The 23,215-nt window shown below is 38.5% G+C and overlaps 1 protein-coding gene across 16 annotated transcripts in view; it reads left to right on the top strand.

Annotated features, from left to right (window-relative positions):
- SYT1 (synaptotagmin 1) overlaps window positions 1-23,215 on the top strand; it is a 588,027-nt gene that overhangs the window by 473,063 nt on the left and 91,749 nt on the right. For all 16 annotated transcript variants that reach the window (NM_001135805.2, NM_001415940.1, NM_001415943.1 and 13 more), the window contains one exon: window positions 16,458-16,575. In NM_001135805.2, coding sequence (NP_001129277.1) covers window positions 16,458-16,575 — 118 coding nt within the window. The remainder of the gene's footprint in view (window positions 1-16,457; window positions 16,576-23,215) is intronic.

The following is a 23,215-nucleotide window of genomic DNA, read 5'->3' on the forward strand; positions in this document are numbered from 1 at the left end:
TCTTTCATGTCCTCCTTTTTGGTTCCCCTCCCCCCAGTGTTGGGACCCCTTGGCTCACAGATAGATTGTGTGCCATCCTCACTGATAGGTAAATAGACATTTACAGTCAATATTGCAGTAGACAAAGAAGATATTATTTATCCATTTTAATGGTGGGAGGAGAACATGCTCAGAGTGCACCTAGGAGCTGATTAGTGGCAGAACTCAGGTCTGCTGGGCATTCCCCACAGCTCCTCTTTTATGACAGCTCCCTGACAAGAAGGAAAACTTTCCTTGGGTAATGACATCTCCAAATTGCGTGGCCATTCCTATTCCCTCCAGAGATTTCTTCTTGGATACTATTGTCCCAGAACTAAAAAGAGAAAAATACTCTTTGGATAGAACAACATCCTAGCTTCTGAGCTTTCTGCATCAAGACCCCATTTTCCCCATGATGTCCTCTCAAGTTAATTAGGATGCACTAGCAGAAGTAGCTACAGAGTGACAGAACTTCAGGATACAAAGTCCTTGCAGTCATTGAGTATCATTAGTAAAAAGGTAATGCTGCTCTGTCAGGAAGCCTGTGTATAAATCATTCAGATACATATCTCTGCCACTAAAGATTATGCTTCTCAGAGTTAAAAGTACTAAACAATGCCTTCCAAGGTTTATCTGCCACTGTTTTTCATGAACGCTCCAGGATCAAGAGCACACTTTCTGGCATATTGCTTTAAAATGCCTCCTTTCTAACTGTGCAGGTCAAATCTGCATTGTTATTTAGAAATACATGTTGCCCATATTTCAAAATTACTTGGTATCCACACTTACATTTACATTTTAACAGAAGATAATACTGGTTCCCATAATCCAAATCACTATGAGGCAGCTTTATCCCAGAGCCTCAAAGTCAGGTGAGGACAGGAAAGTAGAATGTTTAAAATTGGATTTGACCCAGAAAACCGAGGACATGTGGTTGACAGAGGGAGAATGTTAAAGTGACAAAGCAACTTGGTAAAAGGTTTGTCTTTGGACGCCATCCCCAAACTGTTCTCCATTAGTTTCTTTCCACTTCGCATGTCCTTAGGCAATTGGCCATTTGCCTGGATTCCTACTTAGCCCTCTACCGAGAGCAGCACCCAAGCTATGGGGCTCACCTACCATCTTCCCCATTTTTCACCATTTCCATTGACTTAGAGAAATCATCCATATTCCAAGAAAATGTCAACTAATTTTTTTTTCTTTTTTCTTTTTCCTTTTTTTTTTTCTTTTTTGAGACAGGATCTCACTCTGTCACCCAGGCTGGAGGGCAGTGGTACAAATCATAGCTCACTGCAGCTTCAAACTCCTGGGCTTAGGCAATCCCCCGACCTCCTACCTCAGCCTCCCAAGTCACTGGGACTACAGGCATACACCACCACTAATTTTCTTTAATTTTTATTTTTAGTCGCTTTGTTGCCCAGGCTGGTCTTGAACTCCTGAGCTCAAGTGATCCTCCCACCCTGACCTCCCAACAAACTGGGATTACAACTGTGAGCCACCACACCTGACCAACTAAAATTTCTCTTTTTTTTTTCTTCAATCCCTCCCTGCCTCCCTCCCTCCCTCCCTTCCTTACTTCCTTTCTTCCTTCCTTCTTCCCTCCCTCCCTCCCTTTTTTTTTATTATACTTTAAGTTCTAGGGTACATGTGCACAATGTGCAGGTTTGTTACATATGTATACATGTGCTGTGTTGGTTTGCCGCACCCATTAACTCGTCATTTACATTAGGTATTTCTCCTAATACTATCCCTCCCCCATCCCCCGACCCCACAACAGGCCCGTGTGTGATGTTCCCCACCCTGTGTCCAAGTGTTCTCATTGTTCAATTCCCACCTATGAGTGAGAACATGCAGTGTTTGTTTTTCTGTCCTTGTGATAGTTTGCTCAGAATAATGGTTTCCAGCTTCATCCATGTCACTACAAACAACATGAATTCATCCTTTTTTATGGCTGCGTAGTATTCCATGGTGTATATGTGCCGCATTTTCTTAATCCAGTCTATCATTGATGGACATTTGGGTTGGTTCCAAGTCTTTGCTATTGTGAATAGTGCTGCAATAAACATACGTGTGCATGTGTCTTTATAGCAGCATGATTTATAATCCTTTGGGTATATACCCAGTAATGGGATGGCTGGGTCAAATGGTATTTCTAGTTCTAGATCCTTGAAGGAATTGCCACACTGTCTTCCACAATGGTTGAACTAATTTACACTCCCACCAACAGTGTAAAAGTGTTCCTATTTCTCCACATCCTCTCCAGCACCTGTTGTTTCCTGACTTTTTAATGATCGCCATTCTAACTGTTGTGAGATAGTATCTCATTGTGGTTTTGATTTGCATTTCTCTGATGACCAGTGATGATGAGCATTTTTTCATGTGTCTGTTGGCTGCATAAATGTCTTCTTTTGAAAAGTATCTGTTCATATCCTTTGCCCACGTTTTGATGGGGTCGTTTGATTTTTCTTGTAAATTTGTTTAAGTTCTTTGTAGATTCTGGAAATTAGCCCTTTGTCAGATGGGTAGATTGCAAAAATTTTCTGCCATTCTGAAGGTTACCTGTTCACTCTGATGGTAGTTTCTTTTGCTGTGCAGAAGCCCTTTAGTTTAATTAGATCCCATTTGTCTATTTTGACTTTTGTTGTCATTGCTTTTGGTGTTTTAGTCATGAAGTCCTTGCCCATGCCTACGTCCTGAATGGTATTGCCTAGGTTTTCTTCTAGGGATTTTATGGTTTTAGGTCTAACATTTAAGTCTTTAATGCATCTTGAATTAATTTTTGTATAAGGTGTAAGGAAGGGATCCAGTTTCAGCTTTCTACATAATGGCTAGCCAGTTTTCCCAGCACCATTTGTTAAATAGGGAATCCTTTCCCCATTTCTTGTTTTTGTCAGTTTTGTCAAAGATCAGATGGTTGTAGATGTGTGGTGTTATTTCTGAGGGCTCTGTTCTGTTCCATTGGTCTATATGTCTGTTTTGGTACCAGTACCATGCTGTTTTGGTTACTGTAGCCTTGTAGTATAGTTTGAAGTCAGGTAGTGTGATGCCTCCAGCTTTGTTCTTTTTGCTTAGGATGTCTTGGCAATGCGGGCTCTTTTTTGGTTCCATATGAACTTTAAAGTAGTTTTTTCCAATTCTGTGAAGAAAGTCATTGGTAGCTTGATGGGGATGGCACTGAATCTATAAATTACCTTGGGCAGTATGGCCATTTTCATGATATTCATTCTTCCTGTCCATGAACATGGAGTGTTCTTCCATTTGCTTGTGTCCTCTTTTATTTCCTTGAGCAGTGGTTTGTAGTTCTCCTTGAAGAGGTCCTTCACATCCCTTGTAAGTTGGATTCCTAGGTATTTTTTTCTCTTTGTGGTAATTGTGAATGGGAGCTCACTCATGATTTGGCTCTCTGTTTGTCTGTTATTGGTGTATAAGAATGCTTGTGATTTTGCATATTGATTTTGTATCCTGAGACTGCTGAAGTTGCTTATCAGCTTAAGGAGATTTTGGGCTGAGACAATGGGGTTTTCTAAATATACAATCATGTCATCTGCAAACAGGGACAATTTGACTTCCTGTTTTCCTAATTGAATACCCTTTATTTCTTTCCCTTGCCTGATTGCCCTCTGGCCAACTACAATTTCATACCATGATGGATGCCATGTTGCCCATTAGGGGGTGAAACAGTGTTTCATATTGTTTTAAAGGACCCATAGAGATCTAAAGCTTTAGCTAAAGGTAATAAATGGTAGAATTTCAAGTACCTCAGCACACTATAGCATAAAGAATCTTTTGACAAGGACACTTTTGGAATTCACTTTTCCCTACTCTCCACTAAAAAGTCACAGTAGTAATTATTTACAAATTCCTCTACTTTCTCTATAGTGGTCCTTCCTAATACATGTTTCTATAATGACACCTACAATTTTATGTTGAATTTTTGTTTATATGCCTGTTCATGCCAGCATTGAAAAAGCTTCTTAGGGCAAAGACATGTTTTAATCATCCTTTGTTTCTAGTTCTTTGTAGCATGACTGGCATATTGAAAACCCAACATAAGGGTTTGACATATAAGACTAAGCTTTACTCATTTTCTACAAACCACAGATTTTTAAGTGGATCACTAATTATACTTCTGAAAACACTGTTTAGAAGTCATTTATTTATTATTAGTATTAATTATTTCAGGCTAGGCTACAATAACAAATAGGCCCAAACACGTAATGGGTTCTGCAAAAGAGAAGTCTTGGCAGGTAGGGCTCTGCTTTATTAAATCTTCAAGGATCCTGTCTCACTGAACCTCTGCCATCTTCAGCATTTCAGCATGTAGCTTCCAAGGTCACTCTGAGGTCACTATCACAGACATAGAAAAGAAAAAAAATCATGGGTAGGAGTTCTGGGGGACTGGGTCTAGGAGTGGTGCACATCACTTCTGTTCACATTCCATTAGCTAGAACCCAATCACAAGACCACATCTAACTACAAGAAAGGCTGGGAAATGTAGTCTAGCTGTGTTCTCAGGAAGAAGAGCGTGGACTTTTGGTAAACTACAGAGACTCTGGCAGTCTCTGCCAGAGTGGAATACTTAATAAATACATTCATTCTTTTTTTTTTTTTTTTTTTTTTTTTTGAGACAGAGTCTCGCTCTGTTGCCTAGGCTGGAGTGCAGTGGCATGATCTCAGCTCACTGCAAGCTCCAACTCCCAGGTTCACACCATTCTCCTGCCTCAGCCTCCCAAGTAGCTGGGACTATAGGCACCCGCCACCATGCCCAGCTAATTTTTTGTATTTTTAGTAGAGACGGAGTTTCACCGTGTTAGCCAGGATGGTCTTGATCTCCTGACCTCGTGATCCACCCGCCTCGTCATTCAGAAAGATGTGAAAGATGAGTGAAAGTTAACTAAGTAAACGGGAGGGTGGCAAGAGGGCAGAATGTCAAGCAAAAGGAACTGTTTATGTGAAGCCTCTGAAAGTGTAGGTGGCGTGGCACAGTTAATGATATAAAGAAGGCTTTCCCCTTGTGGCTGTTGCGCAGAGGGAGAAAGAGGCATTTGATGAGGCAGAGGAATAAGTAGGAAATAGAACTTGAAGATTATTCTAAATGATCATAAGAATTTGGGCCTTTTAACTCAAGAGAGATAGGAGACCTACTTAAGGATTTTAAGATTTGGTTTTTTGATGTTTTGTTTTTTAGAGACAGGGTCTTGCTCTGTTGCCCAGGCTGGAGTGCAGTGCCACAATCATAGCTCACTGAAGACTCAAACTCTCGGGCTCAACTGATCTTCCTGCCTCAGCCTCCTGAGTCACTGGAACCACAGGCATGCACCACCATGCCCGGCTATTTTTTTGTTTTTTGTAGAGATAGAGTCTGGCTTCATTGCCCAGACTGGTCTCAAAATCCTGGTTTCAAGCTATTCGCCCTCCTTGGCCTCCCAAAGTGCGGGGATTATAGGAGTGAGATACGATGCCTGTTATTTAAAAGGTGACTCTGTCAATTGTATTCTAAGAGTAAATTTCAGGAAACCAATTAAGAGGGTATTGGAGTAATCTATATGAGAGATTATTTGATCACATGGTGAAGACTATAAGGATGGAAACAAGTGAACTTATTGAGAGATTTTATGATAAATAAAATCAGAACTCAAAAGAAGTCAATGATCAACGATCAGTGATAATGCCCAGTTTTCTGGCTTAAGCAACCCCTTGGATGCTAATATCATTTGTTGAAATCGAGTGAACCAGATTTAGAAGAAAGATCATAAATTCAGTTTTTGGCATTCGAGTCTAAAACGAGTGTGAGATATTCAATGACTAGTGGACAGTTAGATATAAAAGTCTGGGGCTTAGAGAAAATATCTAAACTAGAGATACAAACTGGAGAATCACTTCCATATTATAACTAAAACCATATACTGGGATAAGATTAGTTTATGAAGAAAAGAAGTTAGTTATAACTACACCCTGCAAAGGGAGACCAAGAGTGAGTGGCCAGGGAGGCAGAGAAACTAAAATCAGGAAATCATTGTATTATAGAATCCAAGGAAAGAAAGGGAGTCAATAAATTCTGCTGAAAGTTCATGGAAATGAGACCTGCAAAATATTAATGGTTCGGTAATATGGATGTCATTTGAAATCTTAGTAGCAACTATTTTAATAAAATGATGGAGAGAGAAATCAATGGAACATGAAAAAATGGGGACAGTGATTGTAACCAATTTCTTCAAGAAATTTGGCTGTGCAAAGGAGCAGAGAGACATGGCACATGTAGAAAAGAGGATAGTTGAAATAGGAATTTTGTTATGATAATAGCGAACACTCACACAGTACATTTTGTGAGCCAGGAACTCTTCTAACTCCTTTTTTACATACTAACTGATGTAATTCTACTGACTCCATCACTATTCTTCCATTTTAGAGATTAGAAAAGTGAGGCACAGAAGAGAAAGTACATTGCCTGAGGCTTAGTAGGTAATAAGAAGCAGACTTGGGAATTGAACCTAAGTAGCCTGACTATAGAGTCCATGTTGTTACAAAGTCACTGAGGAATCTTCTAAGCATATTTTAATGTTGAAAGAAAGATCTCAAATGTTATTTTGTCTTTTGTCAGTAATAAAATATTTGGCACATACTCCCAATATTTCTGTCTTTCTATAAATCATATATATATTGTGCTATACCAATATATGATGTGTTTTATAAAACATATAAATGAAACACAATTTTGAAAATATGGGATAAAAGTAAATATAAATAGAAGGTCTAATATTGTCTTCTCATACTCCAATGGATTATCTTATGAAATCTGCAATGAAGATAACTAAAGAAGAGAGGGAAAGGATAGAGAAAAAGAACTGAGTGCATTTACTGGTTTCGACTACATGTGCAAATTTCCACAAACTCCGTGGCTTAAAACACCCATTTATTAGTTCAGTCCAGTAAAACAGAGAGAAAAACTAGACAGGTAGCTCTAATAAAGTAAAATCATGGAAATATATGATTTCCCAGCCAGAAGAACCTTCAGGACTGTGTTATCCAGACCTGTTTTATAAAGACAAGGAAGGTGGATCCCGATGGTTAAGCAGTTGACCACATTTCACCTCCTTCAAATCCTTCTTATACAGACATTCCCTGAACTTCCTGTTTCAAATTGCTATCCTTATTCCCCACCTACTTTACATGTTTCCACAGCACATACCTCACCAAACATGCCTTTTATTTTACTGTTATTTTGTTGACTTTGCGTGTCTTACTGACCACTGTGCCCAAGTGCCTAGAACAGTGCCTGGCACAGAGGAGGTACCCAATAAATATCAGTTATACCAAAAAATAGTGAATGAATACACATGGTGGTCCAGTGCTCTTTCCACCACTCTATACTGTACTTTACTGTCACTTTTTGTTTGTTTTTGTTATTGAGACAGGGTCTCGCTCTGTCTCCCAGGCTAAACTACAGTGGCACGATCTCTGCCCACTGCAACCTCCACCTCTTGGGCCCAAGTAATCCTCCCACCTCAGCCTCCTGAGTAGCTGGGGCTATAGGCACGCATCACACCACACCTGGCTATTTTTTTGTATTTTTTTGTAGAGACAGGATTTCACCAAGTTGCCCAGGCTGGTCTCAAACTCCTGGGCTCAAGCAGTCTGCCCGCCTCTGCCTTCCAAAGTGCTGGTATTACAGCCATGAGCCACCACACCCGGCCTACTGTCACTTTTAAGAAGCATTTTGATTTTCTATTTTCATCCTTATTTTGATCACATCAGAATATCTGCTTTTCTGTGAATTATTATTTCTAATGGGACCACAAGTGTATCAGTTAATCAAAATATAAATTATGGACATCATGAGGAAATTTTGAATTTCTAAATCATAAAGTGGAAATCCATTTTCAATTAAATTACATGAATTTTACACTTACAGAAGAGTAACTTGGTTTAAGCTGTTCAAGGGGTATAGTACTGTGTACATGCATTCCTGTGCCTAGAACACTCATGCCCTCTTGTGGACAGGGTTCATCCTGACTTCCTGCCGAACCTTCCTTATCTCAGCTCAGGTAACCGCTCCTCCAGGACACCTATATGTCCCCTGCCCTCCTCCTCCTCCCACAGACACCAGCTCTGGTTAAAAGGGGAAAACTAGAAGGCTTGTCTTAAAGCTACATTTGCATGGCCAGCACATTGGTTTTACAAAGAACATGCATTTGGGGTGGCTTGCAGAAATTTATAACGATTATTGAGGGAATAAATCTCTAAAGTCCCCCTCTCCTTAGTTACTAGACCCTGGAAGGTTTCAATCTTCACCTCCTATAGCATTTGTGCCACTTCTGTAGTACAGTCAATGCATTATATTTTTACTCATCTAGGTATCCATAGAGCCTAGACTAGAACCTAGAAGAGTCTGTGGTGGAACTCAGTAATTATTTTTTAATAAGAAATGAACGAATATAAACCAATGAGTTACAGAGTATGCCTAAAGAATAAGCATCCAAAGATACACTCTCTTTCACCTGAACAATTTACTATACATTTGTAGACTAGGCCAGATTCAGTCTTTCTAGCCTGAACACATTACACAGCAACATTTCACACTGTGACCATCTGGTCCATTAGATGTAAATACCGATTTGGCAGATACTTCAGGAGTATGAGAGTAATGCAGGAATAAAATGAAGTTGAAAAATGCTACCACCCAAAAGATATATTTAAAGCCACATATTATCTTATTAAAATTAAAAACCTAACATTGTCCTTCATATAAGTGAAGACTGTTTTAGTATTTTTACTAATGGGGACTATGCAAATGGTCTGAATTTTCATTTGAGAGATAATTGGGTCTCCATTTGTATGTCACCTCTAAACAAGACTCCCAACCTCAGAGAAAAACCATCTACTCATCAAAGAATCTGTTGCCAATTTAACACATAGAAAAATCTTCTTACAATTAACATAAATAGAATGTCCTTTTAAAATGTCACAGCATTAATTCAGGTACTTTTGAAAAACTCACTCAAGAGTACAGTGTTTCCATCAAATGTATGAACTTAGCCCCATTTGCAAAGGTCACTAAAATGAACCCATCTTTTTCCACATAAAACGATGTATGGGGCTACAGAGCCATTAAATAAATATTCATTTTAAATCAAGCTTTTTATTTATCCATTGGAGATGACCTCTGTTCTAATTATCTATAATGCTTTTCAAAAAGGAAAGGTATTTTTGTCGTTGTCTAGTAAATCATTAATTTGTGTCTATTCAATGGCTGCATTTTTTTAAAAATAATGAAATTATCAAGCTGCTCAGAACAAAGCTGCCTTCTGATTGTCAGCTGTATATTCTAAAAGAGCAGGTAAATTTCTCTGAATCTCACAGCTGGAACTTTTCTAACACTAACTGGCAGTTTCCACCTAGTGATCAAGGCAATTGACTAAAATAAATTACACATAAAGCTGAAATTCCTAATAGTAATAAGGCCCCTTCATGAGATAATCACACCAGCAAAAGCACTCATGTGTTGGCTGCAACCCTACAGGGTCTTGAAATTATCTTATAAAAGCTATACCTCCAGAAATGGTTTTGTTTCTAGTTTCATGACAGGGCTAATATGACAGTGTCCATAGCACTAGGTACAAAGGAGGAGCTCCAAACAAAATTCGTTACTTGACTGGATTAAAATGGAGACACTGTTGTTAAAGCACTAACATCAGTGCTATTTACAAAGCAGATGACTGGTGAGGACCTCATTTCAATACAGTCAACTGACAATTATTTCGAAGCTTTTATTATGTGCCTGGAGCTAGGCATAGAAAAGTAGTATATAGTCCCTGCTCTTCTGGAGTTTAAGGTGAGTTGAGCTCACGTGTAAGAAATAAATAGGGAAAAAGTAATCTCGAGGCACCATTCTACCAGCTATAAAGCAATTGCTAGCAGAAATCCAAGTGGGCTAGAATAGTAAGGAGGTTTTTTTGTTTGTTTGTGTGTTTGTTTTTTCTTTTTTTTTTTTTTTTTGAACATGGACTAGGGCTTAATGGTTAGGAGTAATTTGATTAGGCAGAAGGGAATAAAGGATTGCAGATGGATTTTCCAACTAAGCAAAAGTCTGGTAACTGGAAGGAATATAGCTCACAGAGAAATAGTGATTGCTGTAGCAAACTTCCCAATCTTTGTACCATCTTCATGACCAATGCATTTATTAACTGGGCTGTCAGGAGTGTTGATGGCTTATAGCTCATAACTGAGTTCCCCCTTCCTGGCATCACCCTCAGCTGAAAAGATGCTCACCCAAGATGTAGGAGCAGCCCACATCCAATGTTTGGGGGATTCAGGATGATAAAATCTCATCCTTGTTGCCCCATTTCCAAATATCTTTGAAGAACTCTCCCAGCTCCAGAGTTCCCCATAGAATTGACTGAGGTCTTGATGTAACTGTATCACAGCCCAACTTCTCAACCTGTGTAATCCTGATTCCCTCACTCCCAAAGAGGGGTTGATCTAAAGGACACACCCCTATAAACCTCATGTTGAAAATCTGCCTGAGTCTGCTTCCTCAGAGAACTCAACATATGACAAATGAAGATGCTGAAAAGACCAACCTGACTTATTCAGTTGTAAGAAAGCTGCATGTTCTCATTCAGTAGGCATAGACACTATTCCAATGCTGGGAACACAGCAGTAAGAAAAACAAGTCTTTTCTCTTATGGATCTGATATTCTGGTGAGGAAAACCTAAATAGACATAATAGAATGTCAAGTAATGACGGGTGCTAAGACAAAAAAGAAGCAGGGCAAGAGGAGAGGTAATGTTTGTGTTTAGGACTGCATTGGACTACATTAGATAGAGTGGCCACAGAAAAAGTCCCTAAAGAGGTAACATGCAAGCAGAAAGCTGAATAAACTAATGAAACAATTCATACCAGTATCTAGGAGAATATTGCTGACAGAAGGAACAGCAATGCAAAGATCCTCAGATAGAAGTGTGTTTGGCATGTTTTGGAAAGAGGAAGTGAAATCTGGAGAACAGTGGTAGGATACGAAGGGGGCAGATCATATCAGGCCTTTTAGTGTAAGGAACAGATGTTATTCTAAGTAAAAAGGGAAGATCTCAAAGGGCTTTGAGTAGGATTGTCCCATGATCAGATTTCCATTTTAAAAGGATCATGCTGCCTTTTATGTGAGAAGGAAACTAGAAAGGAGCAAGAAGAGATGCAGAGAGGCTATTATGAGGCTATTACAGAGGTCTAGGTCAGAAGTGACAATGACATGGACTTAAGGTTGCCACTGGTCATGGCTTGCCTGGGACTGAGGGGTTTCCCAGGATGCAGGACTTTTAGATCTTAAACCAGGAGGATCTTAAACAAATCAGGATGTTTGGTCACCCTACTTGGACTAGAGTAATAACCCTATGAATGAAGGCATGTGGTCAGGTTCAAAATATATTCTAAGGGTTGAAGAAGCAGTGAAACAAGAGCAAATGGTTTAGACATTTAGGACAGAGGCAAAATGTAAAACTTCTTGAAAGTCAGGAAGAGGGGTTCAGACCTTTCAAACATTCACTTGGCATTAGTATGTAGTATGCATTGAATTTTGAAGAGACTATAACTAAAGAGGTCTTTAATCAGACTACTTCAGAAAATATGACAGAAATGTCACTAGGGCTTAACCACAATGGAACTGATGGTAAAAATGGAGGTGGAGGTGATTGAAATGGTGGTGTTGGTAGTAGCAGAGGTCATAGTGTAGGATGGTGAAGGTGGTAGTGATAGTGACAAGTATCATATAGAGATGGTGCTCATATTGACATGGATGTGGAAGTGGAAGGAAAGAAAGAAAGACAGATGAAAAAAGACAAAGAAAGAAAGAAAGGAAGAAAGGAAAAAAGAAAGAAAGGAAAGAAAAAGAAAGAAAAAAAGAAAAGAAAGAAAAAGAAAGAGGAAGAAAGAAAGAGAGAAGGAAAGAAAGAAAGAAAGAAAGAAAGAAAGAAAGAAAAAGAAAGAAAGAAAGAAAGAAAGGAGGGAGGGAGGGAGGGAGGGAAGGAAGGGAGGAAGGAAGGACGGACAAACAGGAGGAAGGGAGGAAGGTAGGAAGGAAGAGGAAGGAAGGAAGAAAAGGGGAAGGAAGGAAAGAAGGGACGGAGGGAAGGAAGGAAGGGGAAGGAAGGAACGATGGAAGGAAGGATCTAACTTGAGAGACATTTACAAAATGAGAAATATCAGGACTTGTGGGTTAAATGAATAAAGGAAAACAAAGAGAAAGGAAATGGAGATGAGTTAGTGACCCTGACAGAAAGATGTTGGAAAGAATAGTTGAGGGGAGGGATTGGTATTGAACATTAATTTAGTTACAGATATAAAGTAAGAGTGGAATAACCAAGTGGATGGCCAGCTGGGATATTAGTTTCTATCATTCCAGACAGCAGTGTACTAGTAAAGAAAACTCATGATTTTGAGTTAAAAGAGTTTGCCCCAGTTCCTCTCTGAGACAGCTATGTAACCTACACCCTCTCAGTCTCAAAGTCTTTATATATAAAATGGACATAACAGTACCTCGTTCACAGGGCTATTCTAGAAAAAAGTAGACAAAATTGTCAAGGAGCAGCAAGGATATGACTTGGGTATCTTCTTTTTTCTTTGCAAATTTTCCAAGAACCCTTTTAGTCCCCATCACCATAATCCCACCAAAGAAAAACATTCTTTTTAATTTAGAAAATCTTGGTTTCTAGAACTTTAGAGTGATAAATAAAATATTTATATTAAATGTTTATAAATTACTATGCAGCCATCTTTCTTCCAAACTGGCATGCCAAAACTATGAAATTAGAGTTTGATGTAAAACTGTTCATATAAAACTATTGGGTTCTTCTAATTCTTCTATGTTGATGGACAAGAGATATAGTAAAAGCTTCACATGCTAGAACAAGACTCTAGGGACAGAAGTGCTTTTCTTCTCATCACAGAAGTTCAGTGAAAGACTTCACTGAGGAAATGAAAATATTGGTTTCCAAAAATTCGTACTGGCATGAGTCTTTAAATCTGATTCAGGGTAACAACACTGGCTTACTATATAAGCCACAAACACAAGCCTTGTTTTGACTGGGGCAGAATAGAACACACCTTGTGGGGATGACACAGAAGTCCAGATCGTCCTGCCGTGAGGGTCCTTCTTGCGGGCAGTATCAGGGCCTCCCCAGGATGCATATTCTTTTTTTTTTTTTTTTTTTTTTTTGAGACGGAGTCTCGCTCTGTCGCCCAGGCTGGAGTGCAGTGGCGCGATCTCGGCTCACTGCAAGCTCCGCCTCCCGGGTTCACACCATTCTCCTGCCTCAGCCTCCAGAGTAGCTGGGACTACAGGCGCCCGCCACCATGCCCGGCTAATTTTTTCTATTTTTAGTAGAGACGGGGTTTTACCGTGTTAGCCAGGATGGTCTCGATGTCCTGACCTCGTGATCCGCCCGCCTCGGACTCCCAAAGAGCTGGGATTACAGGCGTGAGCCACCGCGCCCGGCCCTCAGGATGCATATTCTTGCTCTTGTTTCACATAAACTTCAAGTCCCTCATCCTCCCCAACATGTGAGAAACACATGACAATCATATTTGCAAATATCCTAGATCAATTAATCTTGGATCAAACCACCAGGTAGTAAAAGAAAGCTGCCCTAATTTTCAAACTTTTGGTAGACAATTATTAAAGCTAATTCTTAGGGCATTAGGGAAAGCATATACTTAAACCTCCAAAAATTTCACTAACAAGAAAATGGTTAGTATAAATTGGATATTTTCCTTGCCTTTTTCTGGAAATGAGTTTTTCTCTATCTTGTTGATGCCCATAAAGGACACAAATTTCAGGAAAATCAAGGACTAGCTTTCAAATATCTTGGAGATCCAGAAGTAATAAAATGCTAAAACTTTTTGAAAAGTAACTTCAGTTAATTAATATAAACTACACATTCAATTTGGCATATCAATTACAATAATTTTATGAGCAAATGAAATTTTACATGTTAAAGTTCTTAAACTAATGAAGCAAATGTAGATCTGTAAAGGGTGCTTTAAAAAAGCACTTTTCCATATTTTTCTTTCTCCCAAAATGCCCATATTTTTCTCTTAAACACTCATTCTTCTCCCATCCCATAACTTTAAAATTACAAGTAACATCACAGATTTCTCCTGCTTCCGAGCATGCTTTTTCAAACTGTACAAATACTCTCTTCTGAAGATAAATATTATGTAAAATCTTTTAAACTTCCTATGTGTCATAAGATTGAGGAATAAAAGGTATTGGAAGAAGACATTTGTGACATTTCTTTGTTCAACACAATTGCAATGCCCCTAAATTAATCGTGGAATTAGATTATGGCCCATAAAGGGAGATGTTATTTAAGAGAGAGCAGTCATGTCTGAAATTCCTAATTAGAACAGTTAGAGTAACCTGATCCTGCAACACAATCAGTTCCCCAAGGAGGCTATTGTGGAAAATAGACAGAATTCTGCGAAAAAAAAAAAAAGAGCCCTCCTCCTAACGAGCATTTTGAACAGCAATTTTGTTCATTTACATTTCTCTTGTCCCATAAAGTTCAGATAAATTTGTCCATATTTTATATTAATTTCCATGATATTGTCTCCCATTCATTATTTTCAGATACTCTGAAGAGTAATTTATTCCACTAGCCTCTCCTGTTGTATAAATTAATTCCTAGGAGTGAGTAGGCACATCAGGTGAATTCAGCACATTAGAAGTAACTCTTTATTATTTATATTAGTGAAAGGGGGTTATGACCTAGATAATTCAAAACAGGTATTTTCTAAAGTTTCCACTTATTTAAGTTTTGAAACTGTGTGGAAAGTGATAATTTAATGATGGATCCTGTCTTCAAGGAGTTTACAATCATGTGGGAGAATTAAGACATATACACACTGAGACAAAAACAGAGTTCTTGGTAACATAGAGATGTATGGTAAAATGCTATGGGGACTCAAGAAATGAAACACTTGGAGCCATAAACATATTTGGTGATGTTTCCAGCACAGACATTACTTTAGCAGAAAGAGGCACTATTTCTCCCTCACACATTGAATGTATTACCTCTCAATTATAGAAAAATTACAATCTTTCTCTTTTGAAAAATGGATATAATGAATACACCCCCCCCCCAAAAAAAAAACGGGGGGGAATTACATTTTCTTACCTGTTAAATTACATCTAGGCACCTATTTCCACACTGGAGACTCTGGCTGACTTAACATATATGTCAAGTTATAGATAAAGACACATATAGTCATAATAAGGGTATTACTTGAAAGTGCCTTAGTATATGGCTTTCTGTAGCTCATTCCTATGTTAAAAGTCTATCTGCAGAAGTCTGACATAACTGTTGCCTTCTGTAGAATCAGAATTCACATTTTATTGTGGGAAACACTAAAATAAGTCTTGATTTGCCATATAGCTAATTCTGCATGTCAGAAAGCACTCTAGAGCCTCCAGTATCTGAGGGGCATACAACAAACTCTCTCTCTTGCACTCTCTCTATCTCTATCTCATGCTTATAAATATGAATGCAAATTCTACTTATGTTGAACAATAATTTGGTTCTTAATTAATCACCCTAGAAAATAAAACACTTAAGGCAGGAGAATCAGTAGGAGTCTTTTCCGAAAAAAAAAGTAAAATTCTCTATACCATCATCATTGTAAACACTTGATCAGTTGTTCAAAAATGCCTGAGTACAGGACTGTTGAATGTTCTTTGGGCCTAAAGTATGGTTATCAGTGAAATAACATGAGAAGTTATGAGATGCATTTGCATTGTGTTACTATGGGTTTCAATTTTCTAGCCTGCTGCTCAGATTTTTAGAATTAGGAATAAAAGTTAGACCTCACTTAAGATGAGTAATACTAAAAGTGCGAAACCTTATACTTTGTTACATTTCAGCTATCAGGAATTCAGAATTTCTCATCAATAAATAGAATTTAATGACACACAAATGCAAGTCCTTTTCCCAAAAACCTAGAGTATTAGAGGTAATCCTATTTGAAATGTAAAAGGACAAAAATTTAGGTCGATTGATTCAACTAAAGTGTTAGGCTTATTTCAAAGCTGTTTAATAAAAACATGAAAATTTTGCCAAGAGTTTTGCAGTGCTATTCAGAGCACAAAGTCTCTTTAAAAAGTCATGTTGTTCTCATTTCCTGCACCATTGAATTATAGATATATTTTGATGAACATTAAAGTATAGATGATCTTTGTTAAAAACTGAAATAGATGGTCTTAAAAAAAAAAAGCTGTTATCACTCTTGATACCTTAGTCAATGAAAGGCCACTGTGTAAATGCCAATGGACCTACAATTTTCAAATTCTAATCAACATAATCCTCCTCTTGAAGAATTTACAATATATATGTTAAAACTCTATTTACTTGTATTTGAAAAATTGCTAATACTTTCTTATTGGTTTTCTTAGCAAGAGAAATTGGGTGATATCTGCTTCTCCCTTCGCTACGTACCTACTGCTGGTAAGCTGACTGTTGTCATTCTGGAGGCAAAGAACCTGAAGAAGATGGATGTGGGTGGCTTATCCGGTAAGCCTGCAGTGTTTATTGATTTTTTTCAAATGCTGTTTCGTCGTGGATACCAAATGCATGGCGCACATGCTGCGACTCCCCACTTCTTAATTGATCACAGTTCTCTTTCCTATGGAGCCTGGAAGCAGTCTCAGAATTCATCCCAACACAGTGCCCCAGGAAGCCACTCTCAATTCATAGGAATTAGCATAGAAGATGAAATCTATTTTCCTTCTTTGGAGCCAAAGTATCAATTGTCTTTTTAATGGCATTGAAAGCTGAAAATGTTTGCTTCTTTTCTGAAAGAGAGTGTTCATGACAGATTATAATTTTGTTGAGCTTAGAGGGGGTTTTTGGTCAAAATTCACCCACGATATAAAAAACAATGTTTTCCATGAGACTTATTTATTAGGTATTTGATAGCCTAACATAGTTCCTACGATACCATTTATTAAAGACACAGCATTTCAATATATATGCATAATGAAATCTCTGTTTCAGAGTGAACCCCTATGGTAATGCATTTAATTCCACAGCTGACATTGAGGATGGGAGAGATGTGGGGATTGAAATTTCCATACAACCCAACCTTAGTAAAACGTGGTGGATAAAGTATACCCTGGCTCAAAAGCAAAGTCAACTCAAGGACTTGTCACTTCCACGGTTGAACATAATTTTTCTTCTTCTGCATATGATTAAATCAATTATATTTTTAATTTTCCGCTAAATCATTAAAGTGTGAGGAATTTTCTTGATATGCCACAAGGTCATCATAAATTGACTGCAGTTGTCATTGTTTGTGGCTGTGGAATTACAACTAACATTACTGGTTATTCAACACTTTCTTTAATAAAAATATTGCAAACTTCAAAAGGTCATCCTAAGGCAGCATGGTGATTTTTTATTCTAAAGCATAACAGCTAAAAAGTGCTACAGCTGAGCTTCCCCTCACTTACCCACTAATTTGTCGACCAAATTCTCCTGGTACCTGAGTGTATTTCTCTTTATAAATAAGTCACCTGGGGAAGCTGTACTAATTCTTTCATGTCATTAAGACCCTATTTAATAACTTGCTGTTTTTATTGTGCCTAGCAGTGTAACACAGCAAATTTGAAGCAAAGAGCACAGTGTTCTCTAGAAGTATAGAGTATTTAATGTGACTATAAGTGAAAAACATGCAGAGAAATTTTTAACTACAATAACAGTTCCCTCCTAGATTATTACTTAGTTTCCTAAGGTAACTTCAGACACCTTTAACATTTCCCTGTCCTTTGGTTCAACAGCCAACTATCATGACATGATTTCTTTGTATCCTGTCTCTTATGCTTTGTCCCAAATATCCATGCCAACCATCCCCTCATAACCTATGTCTAGTACTCTGCTAGTCTTCCTAAGTCATCCTATCTGCTTCAGCAGATAGGATTTGTCCTGGCTTCTTCCGGGGTCCCAGAAATGAGTTCCCATCATCATAGAGAGATATTTCAACCACGAGTTGTTCATCCCAGTTTGCTGTCTGTTTCCACTAGGACTTCTCCACCGTCTGTCCCCTTCTCGTTCAGTGGCATCAGAGAGGCTGGCTGCAGGCATTTTGGAACTTGGCTAAGGGAAGTTAGGTCTAGCAGGTTATTTTTATGGGGCTTACAGTCATATAATGTATAGTGAGGTTATTGCTAGCTATCCCAAAGAAGGAAGGGTACCTGCAATGCACTAACTAACTCAGCATTGTGAAATGAATAAGGAAAGGCCAAAGGTCATACCTAATTTTGTATTCATAATTTTATATTCTTTGTTTCTGAAGAGAACCAGCAAAACCATATTAGCTTCAGGATCCTCACAACCTGGGTTCACCCCTACATTTGAATTACCTGGAAGGAGTTTAATTATTAAGTAAGAATATTTAAAGAGTAAATATCCTGAAAAGCCCTAATTTTAAGGGCTTCTCACTGCCTGTAGAATTAAGCCATAATCACTCTAATCACTTGAGTCTACATAATGTAGATATGTCCAGCCTATGTCATGCCATATCTCATTTTCACCAAATTGACCAACACACTCTTTTGCAAACAAACTATACAACTTTCTGCCTCTATTACTTGCTTAGGTCGTTTCCTTCACCTGGAATTCTCTTCCTTCCAACAATGTCTAGCCAATTCCTACCCATTCTTTAGGCCCAGCTTAAGTATTATCTCCTCCATTCATTCAATAAACATATATTGTGTCCCTACTTTAAGTCAACATTGTTCTGAGCACTAGGTTTACATTTGTGGATAAAACAGTGCAAAAGACCCTCCCCTCCTGCAGCTTGCATTCTAATGTAGGGAAACAGAAAAGAAGCCAACAGATAGCAAAAGCATGAGTCTACCAAGAGATAACAGGTGCTATGGAGCAGTAAAGCAGGAAGTAGGATAAGGAATATTGGGGATTCATCTTAAATGGGGTTCAAAGAAGACCTCTGAGTAGGTGGCATTTCCGCAACAACCTGGAAGAAGTGATGAATTGAGCCACGGCGCGTCTGGGAGAGAGAACAACCACGGGGCTTCTGGGAGAGAGAACAGCCATGGGGTGTCTGGGAGAGACAACAGATACCTCGTGGCTCACTTCTTCACTTCTTCCAGGTTGTTGCTGAAATGCCACCTACTCATGAGGTCTTAAGACCTCATGGTTTTAAGATCCATCCCAGTAGAACAAATCTTTGCCTTTTTTTAAATGCCATTAGCCATTTGTTTACACCCCTCAAACATCATGCTTCTCTCTCACTAGACTGTGTTCTGTATTTATCCCTCCCACAATGCTCTCAGTGATGGGTAGCACTAAGCATAGCTGCTGAATGAATAATGAATTATTTACAAAGGAGCTATGGCCTGAAAAAACAAGTCTTGCATTTCAAATGTGTCTAACCCACTTACCATTAAAATAACTTTAAGCACTTGGATGGTCTGTCTCAAAGTAAGTTGACCTATGTACGAGGAGACCAAAATTATATAATAAGATCATTCCAGGTAATTCAAATGCCAAAGTACATTTGCTGGAAATGACTAGTTAATTGGAACCAAAGTGGGTTGTTTTGCCAGAGTTTAAACTCCATCTGCCACTAACTAGCAATTTGACATTGCACAAGTTATTTATTTAACTCTTCTAAGCCTCAGCTGCATTATCTATAAAGTGGGAATAATGAGAGGACTTTGTTGATGATGCTATGAGAAATAAATGAAAGCACAGGGCCTGGCACAACTAAGTACTCACTAAATACTATTGTAGTCATTTCTATTAGTAATTTTATCAAATCTTGGGATAAATATGCAACATGGGAAAGCAACCAATGGATGATTTAACCAATTACTTGCTTCAATGGGGAAAAAAAGTTTATCTTATTGTTTGATGGAATTAGCTGATTAATTCAGGCAAACGTATCAGTAGGCCCACATTTTGCATAGACACTATAGTGAATTAAGATAATTAACAAAACATTTGAGAAAATAAAACATGAAAACATATGTAAAATAATTTTCTTATTGCTCTCCAACAAGGTTATTTCCTTCCTGCAGTATTCATTCAAAATGCATTGCACAAAGATTTGGCCTCTATTGTATATCCACATGCAAAAAATGCAAATCTCAGCCCTTCATACTTTACAGTGACAAGCCTAATTGGACTATGCACATCTCTACAGTAGATCCTTGCATTTGCATTCTTAATATCCCAACTTTCAAATGCTTGTGAGCAACAGTGAGGATTTCTGAATTTAACTGCAGTCATGTGTTGATTAACAACAGGCATACATTTTGAGAAATGTATCATTAGGTTATTTGATCATTGCACAAATATCATAAACACAAACCTAGATGGTGCAGCCTGCTACACACCTAAGCTATGTGGTATGGCTTATTGCTCCTAGGCTACCAATCTATACAACATGTTACCATACTGAATACTGTAGGTAATTGTATTTGTGTATCTAAACATAGAGAAGGTACAACAAAAATACAGTATTATAATCTTATGGGACCACCATTCTATAGGCAGTCCATCCTTGACTGAAATGTGGTTACACAGGGCATGACTGTATTTGTATTGAGATCTTGAATCTTGCAGGCTGCAAGACTGTTCTTCAGGAGCAAGTTGGTGCTGTAGAACATGTGTAGGACTTTTTGCCTTATACGTGGAGACAATCAAGACTTCTGCCTCTTAAACATGTCTCAATAGCTTCGTTGCCTTTTACACATCTCTGTGTGGAGTAAATCTTCCTTCAAATAAGAAATGTTTTCTATTTGGGAAAATTGGGGAAGAGAATAAAGAGGTCAAAGTAAAGGCATTGGAAACATTGAGGCTTCCCAAAGGTATGAGGCTGTGTGTCTCATAGTTTTAAGCTAAAGTATATAACTTTTATTCTTAAATTTGTACCTGTGTAAACTCCTAAGTCAGAGACTAATCAGATACGTTGCTACTTGTCCCTATTTGTGTCATAGCAATCACTTTCCTCAAGTTTGGTGTTTTGTTTTGTTTTTTGTCATCTCAGAAATTTGACACGTCTGAGTACAGCTTTAATGAGGAATGTCAACACTGTAAGTTTAGTTTAGGCTTTCTGTTGTAAATTAAATGAAATTCTGAAAGTTTTCTATTTAAGGACATGGCCGTTTAAAGAAGGAAACACTAAACTTTAAAATAAGCAAAAATTGAAGTGATTATAGCTTTTAAATTTTGATCTATTCCGTAGAAATTCTGTTTTTCTACTTCAATCTGAGAATTATTTTTAACTGTTAAAAAGTCACATTATCAGTTATAGAACACTTTCTAATTTAGAAATATTTTTTAACTTGGTTTTCTCATGTGGTTCTCATGATAGCCCTGTGAGATACTTTCTGAAGATAGCATTCTGATTTTACCAGTGAGAAAATTGAAGCTTAGAGACATTAGACAATGTCCATAAACTATCTTCCTGCATGTGGCACATAGATGGGGGTGTTCAATACTTGCAATTGCTCTTATCACTACTGACATTTGATCTCAGCTGATTTGAGGGTAGGACTGAAGTTCAGATCCCCCCAGTTCTCAATGCAGAGGACTTTCTAATATAGCATTCAGCCTTGCCCACACCCCTACCTTCAAGATGGGAGAGCAAGGATTCCTCAGCTCTAACCTGCGTGAGGTGCCTCCCCTGCCCAAAGCCGAAACATCAAGATGAGGTCGTCACAGTAGGGAAGACTAGAAATGGAGTCTTCATGGATTGTTGGAAATGGAGGGATTCTTGGAGACTGGGGAAAATGTTCGTAACTGTAAACCCTTAAGGATACTCCTAGTCAAATAGCTCCAGGGTGCCCCCTTTCTTGCCTTCTCAGAACCACAAATTGATTTTCTTGCTTCACTTGTGGTTTCTGGCAGATTCCTCTTCTTGCCTGGCCCAATATGAAACAGAATGTGATCTCACAGACATGTTCTACTTCCCTCATTCCCTGAAGCTAGCACCTAATTCTTCTGAGACTTTTTTCTGTGTTTGTACTGCTAGTAGCCATGGCAAATCAACAAGGGTAAAAAGTGTGCAGTTCTGCTCGTTTGATGTGGTTTGCATTCACCTAAATTGGAGGAGTAGGGAACATAACAAAAGTATGTCAAGCATGGGGGCAAGCTGGAAACCCATATGGTAAAGGGCTGAAATCACATGTAGCTATTCCAGCAGCCTCCTGAACATCAAGGAGCTAGGGAGGTGGCTAGGAGGTGGGATCAGGTCAACAATGGTTGCAAAGTGCTCTCCTTCATCATTTTTCTGTCCCTTTCACTCTGTGTTCTATGACCCATCCCTAGTCCTCTTCCTGGCCATCCCTAGTCCTGCCTTGTTACTATGAAATGAAACCTGTACTGTGAAAAGCAACATTTGGGGCTGTAGGAGAGTTCCTCCAAAACATCTCTAAGTCTCCAAAAGAAAAGGGAAATGAAATGTTTGAAAGTGGCAGCAATTACTTGAGGGAAATGATAGAGAGGGAACAGGGGACTCGTGGTGATGAAGGAGTCACCATCACTATATGTCACACTGCCAGTGTGTGGATTAGCTACTGTGACCTAGGCGAGCAAAATTTACCCTGTCCCCCTCCCTCCACCCACACACACTCTGTTTTCTGGAAGATGCCATTTTTTAAATGTTAATCATGGGTTTGTCTTTTCTCTAGCTCCTTTTCTACTGTCCTAGAAATGTAATTTGGGAAATGCAGCCAGATTTAAATATTTGAGATCATTTAGGAAAGAGCAACTCACCCAACCTCAGGTAACTACTAGATTCCAAGGAGAAACCATGAACCAGCAGAGGTAGGTCATTCCCTCAGGCGATATTTATCAACATGTGATATTTTGCATAACCCCATCAAAATCACCTAGGGTACTTATTAAAAACTAAGATTTCAAGGACTAATTCAAACCAAGCTGTGACTGAGTATCTAGGGGTGGGAACCTGGAAATTGCCTTTTAAACAGGTCCTCCCCGTCCATACACACATACCCATGTTATTTTTATGCATCTTAAATTTGAAAACTACACTTCAGAGGCTTAAAATGCTATGTCATAATTTTAACTGAGGCCTAGGTCAGCCAAGTTCCAAGTTAGAATTTTTTTTTTTTTGGGTCAGTAACATAGAATACATCTTTTGCTTTATATAATGGAATTTCCTCAA

This window comes from Homo sapiens, chromosome 12 (genome assembly GCF_000001405.40).
Source record: "Homo sapiens chromosome 12, GRCh38.p14 Primary Assembly".
In the NCBI taxonomy this organism is placed as follows: Eukaryota; Metazoa; Chordata; class Mammalia; order Primates; family Hominidae; genus Homo; species Homo sapiens.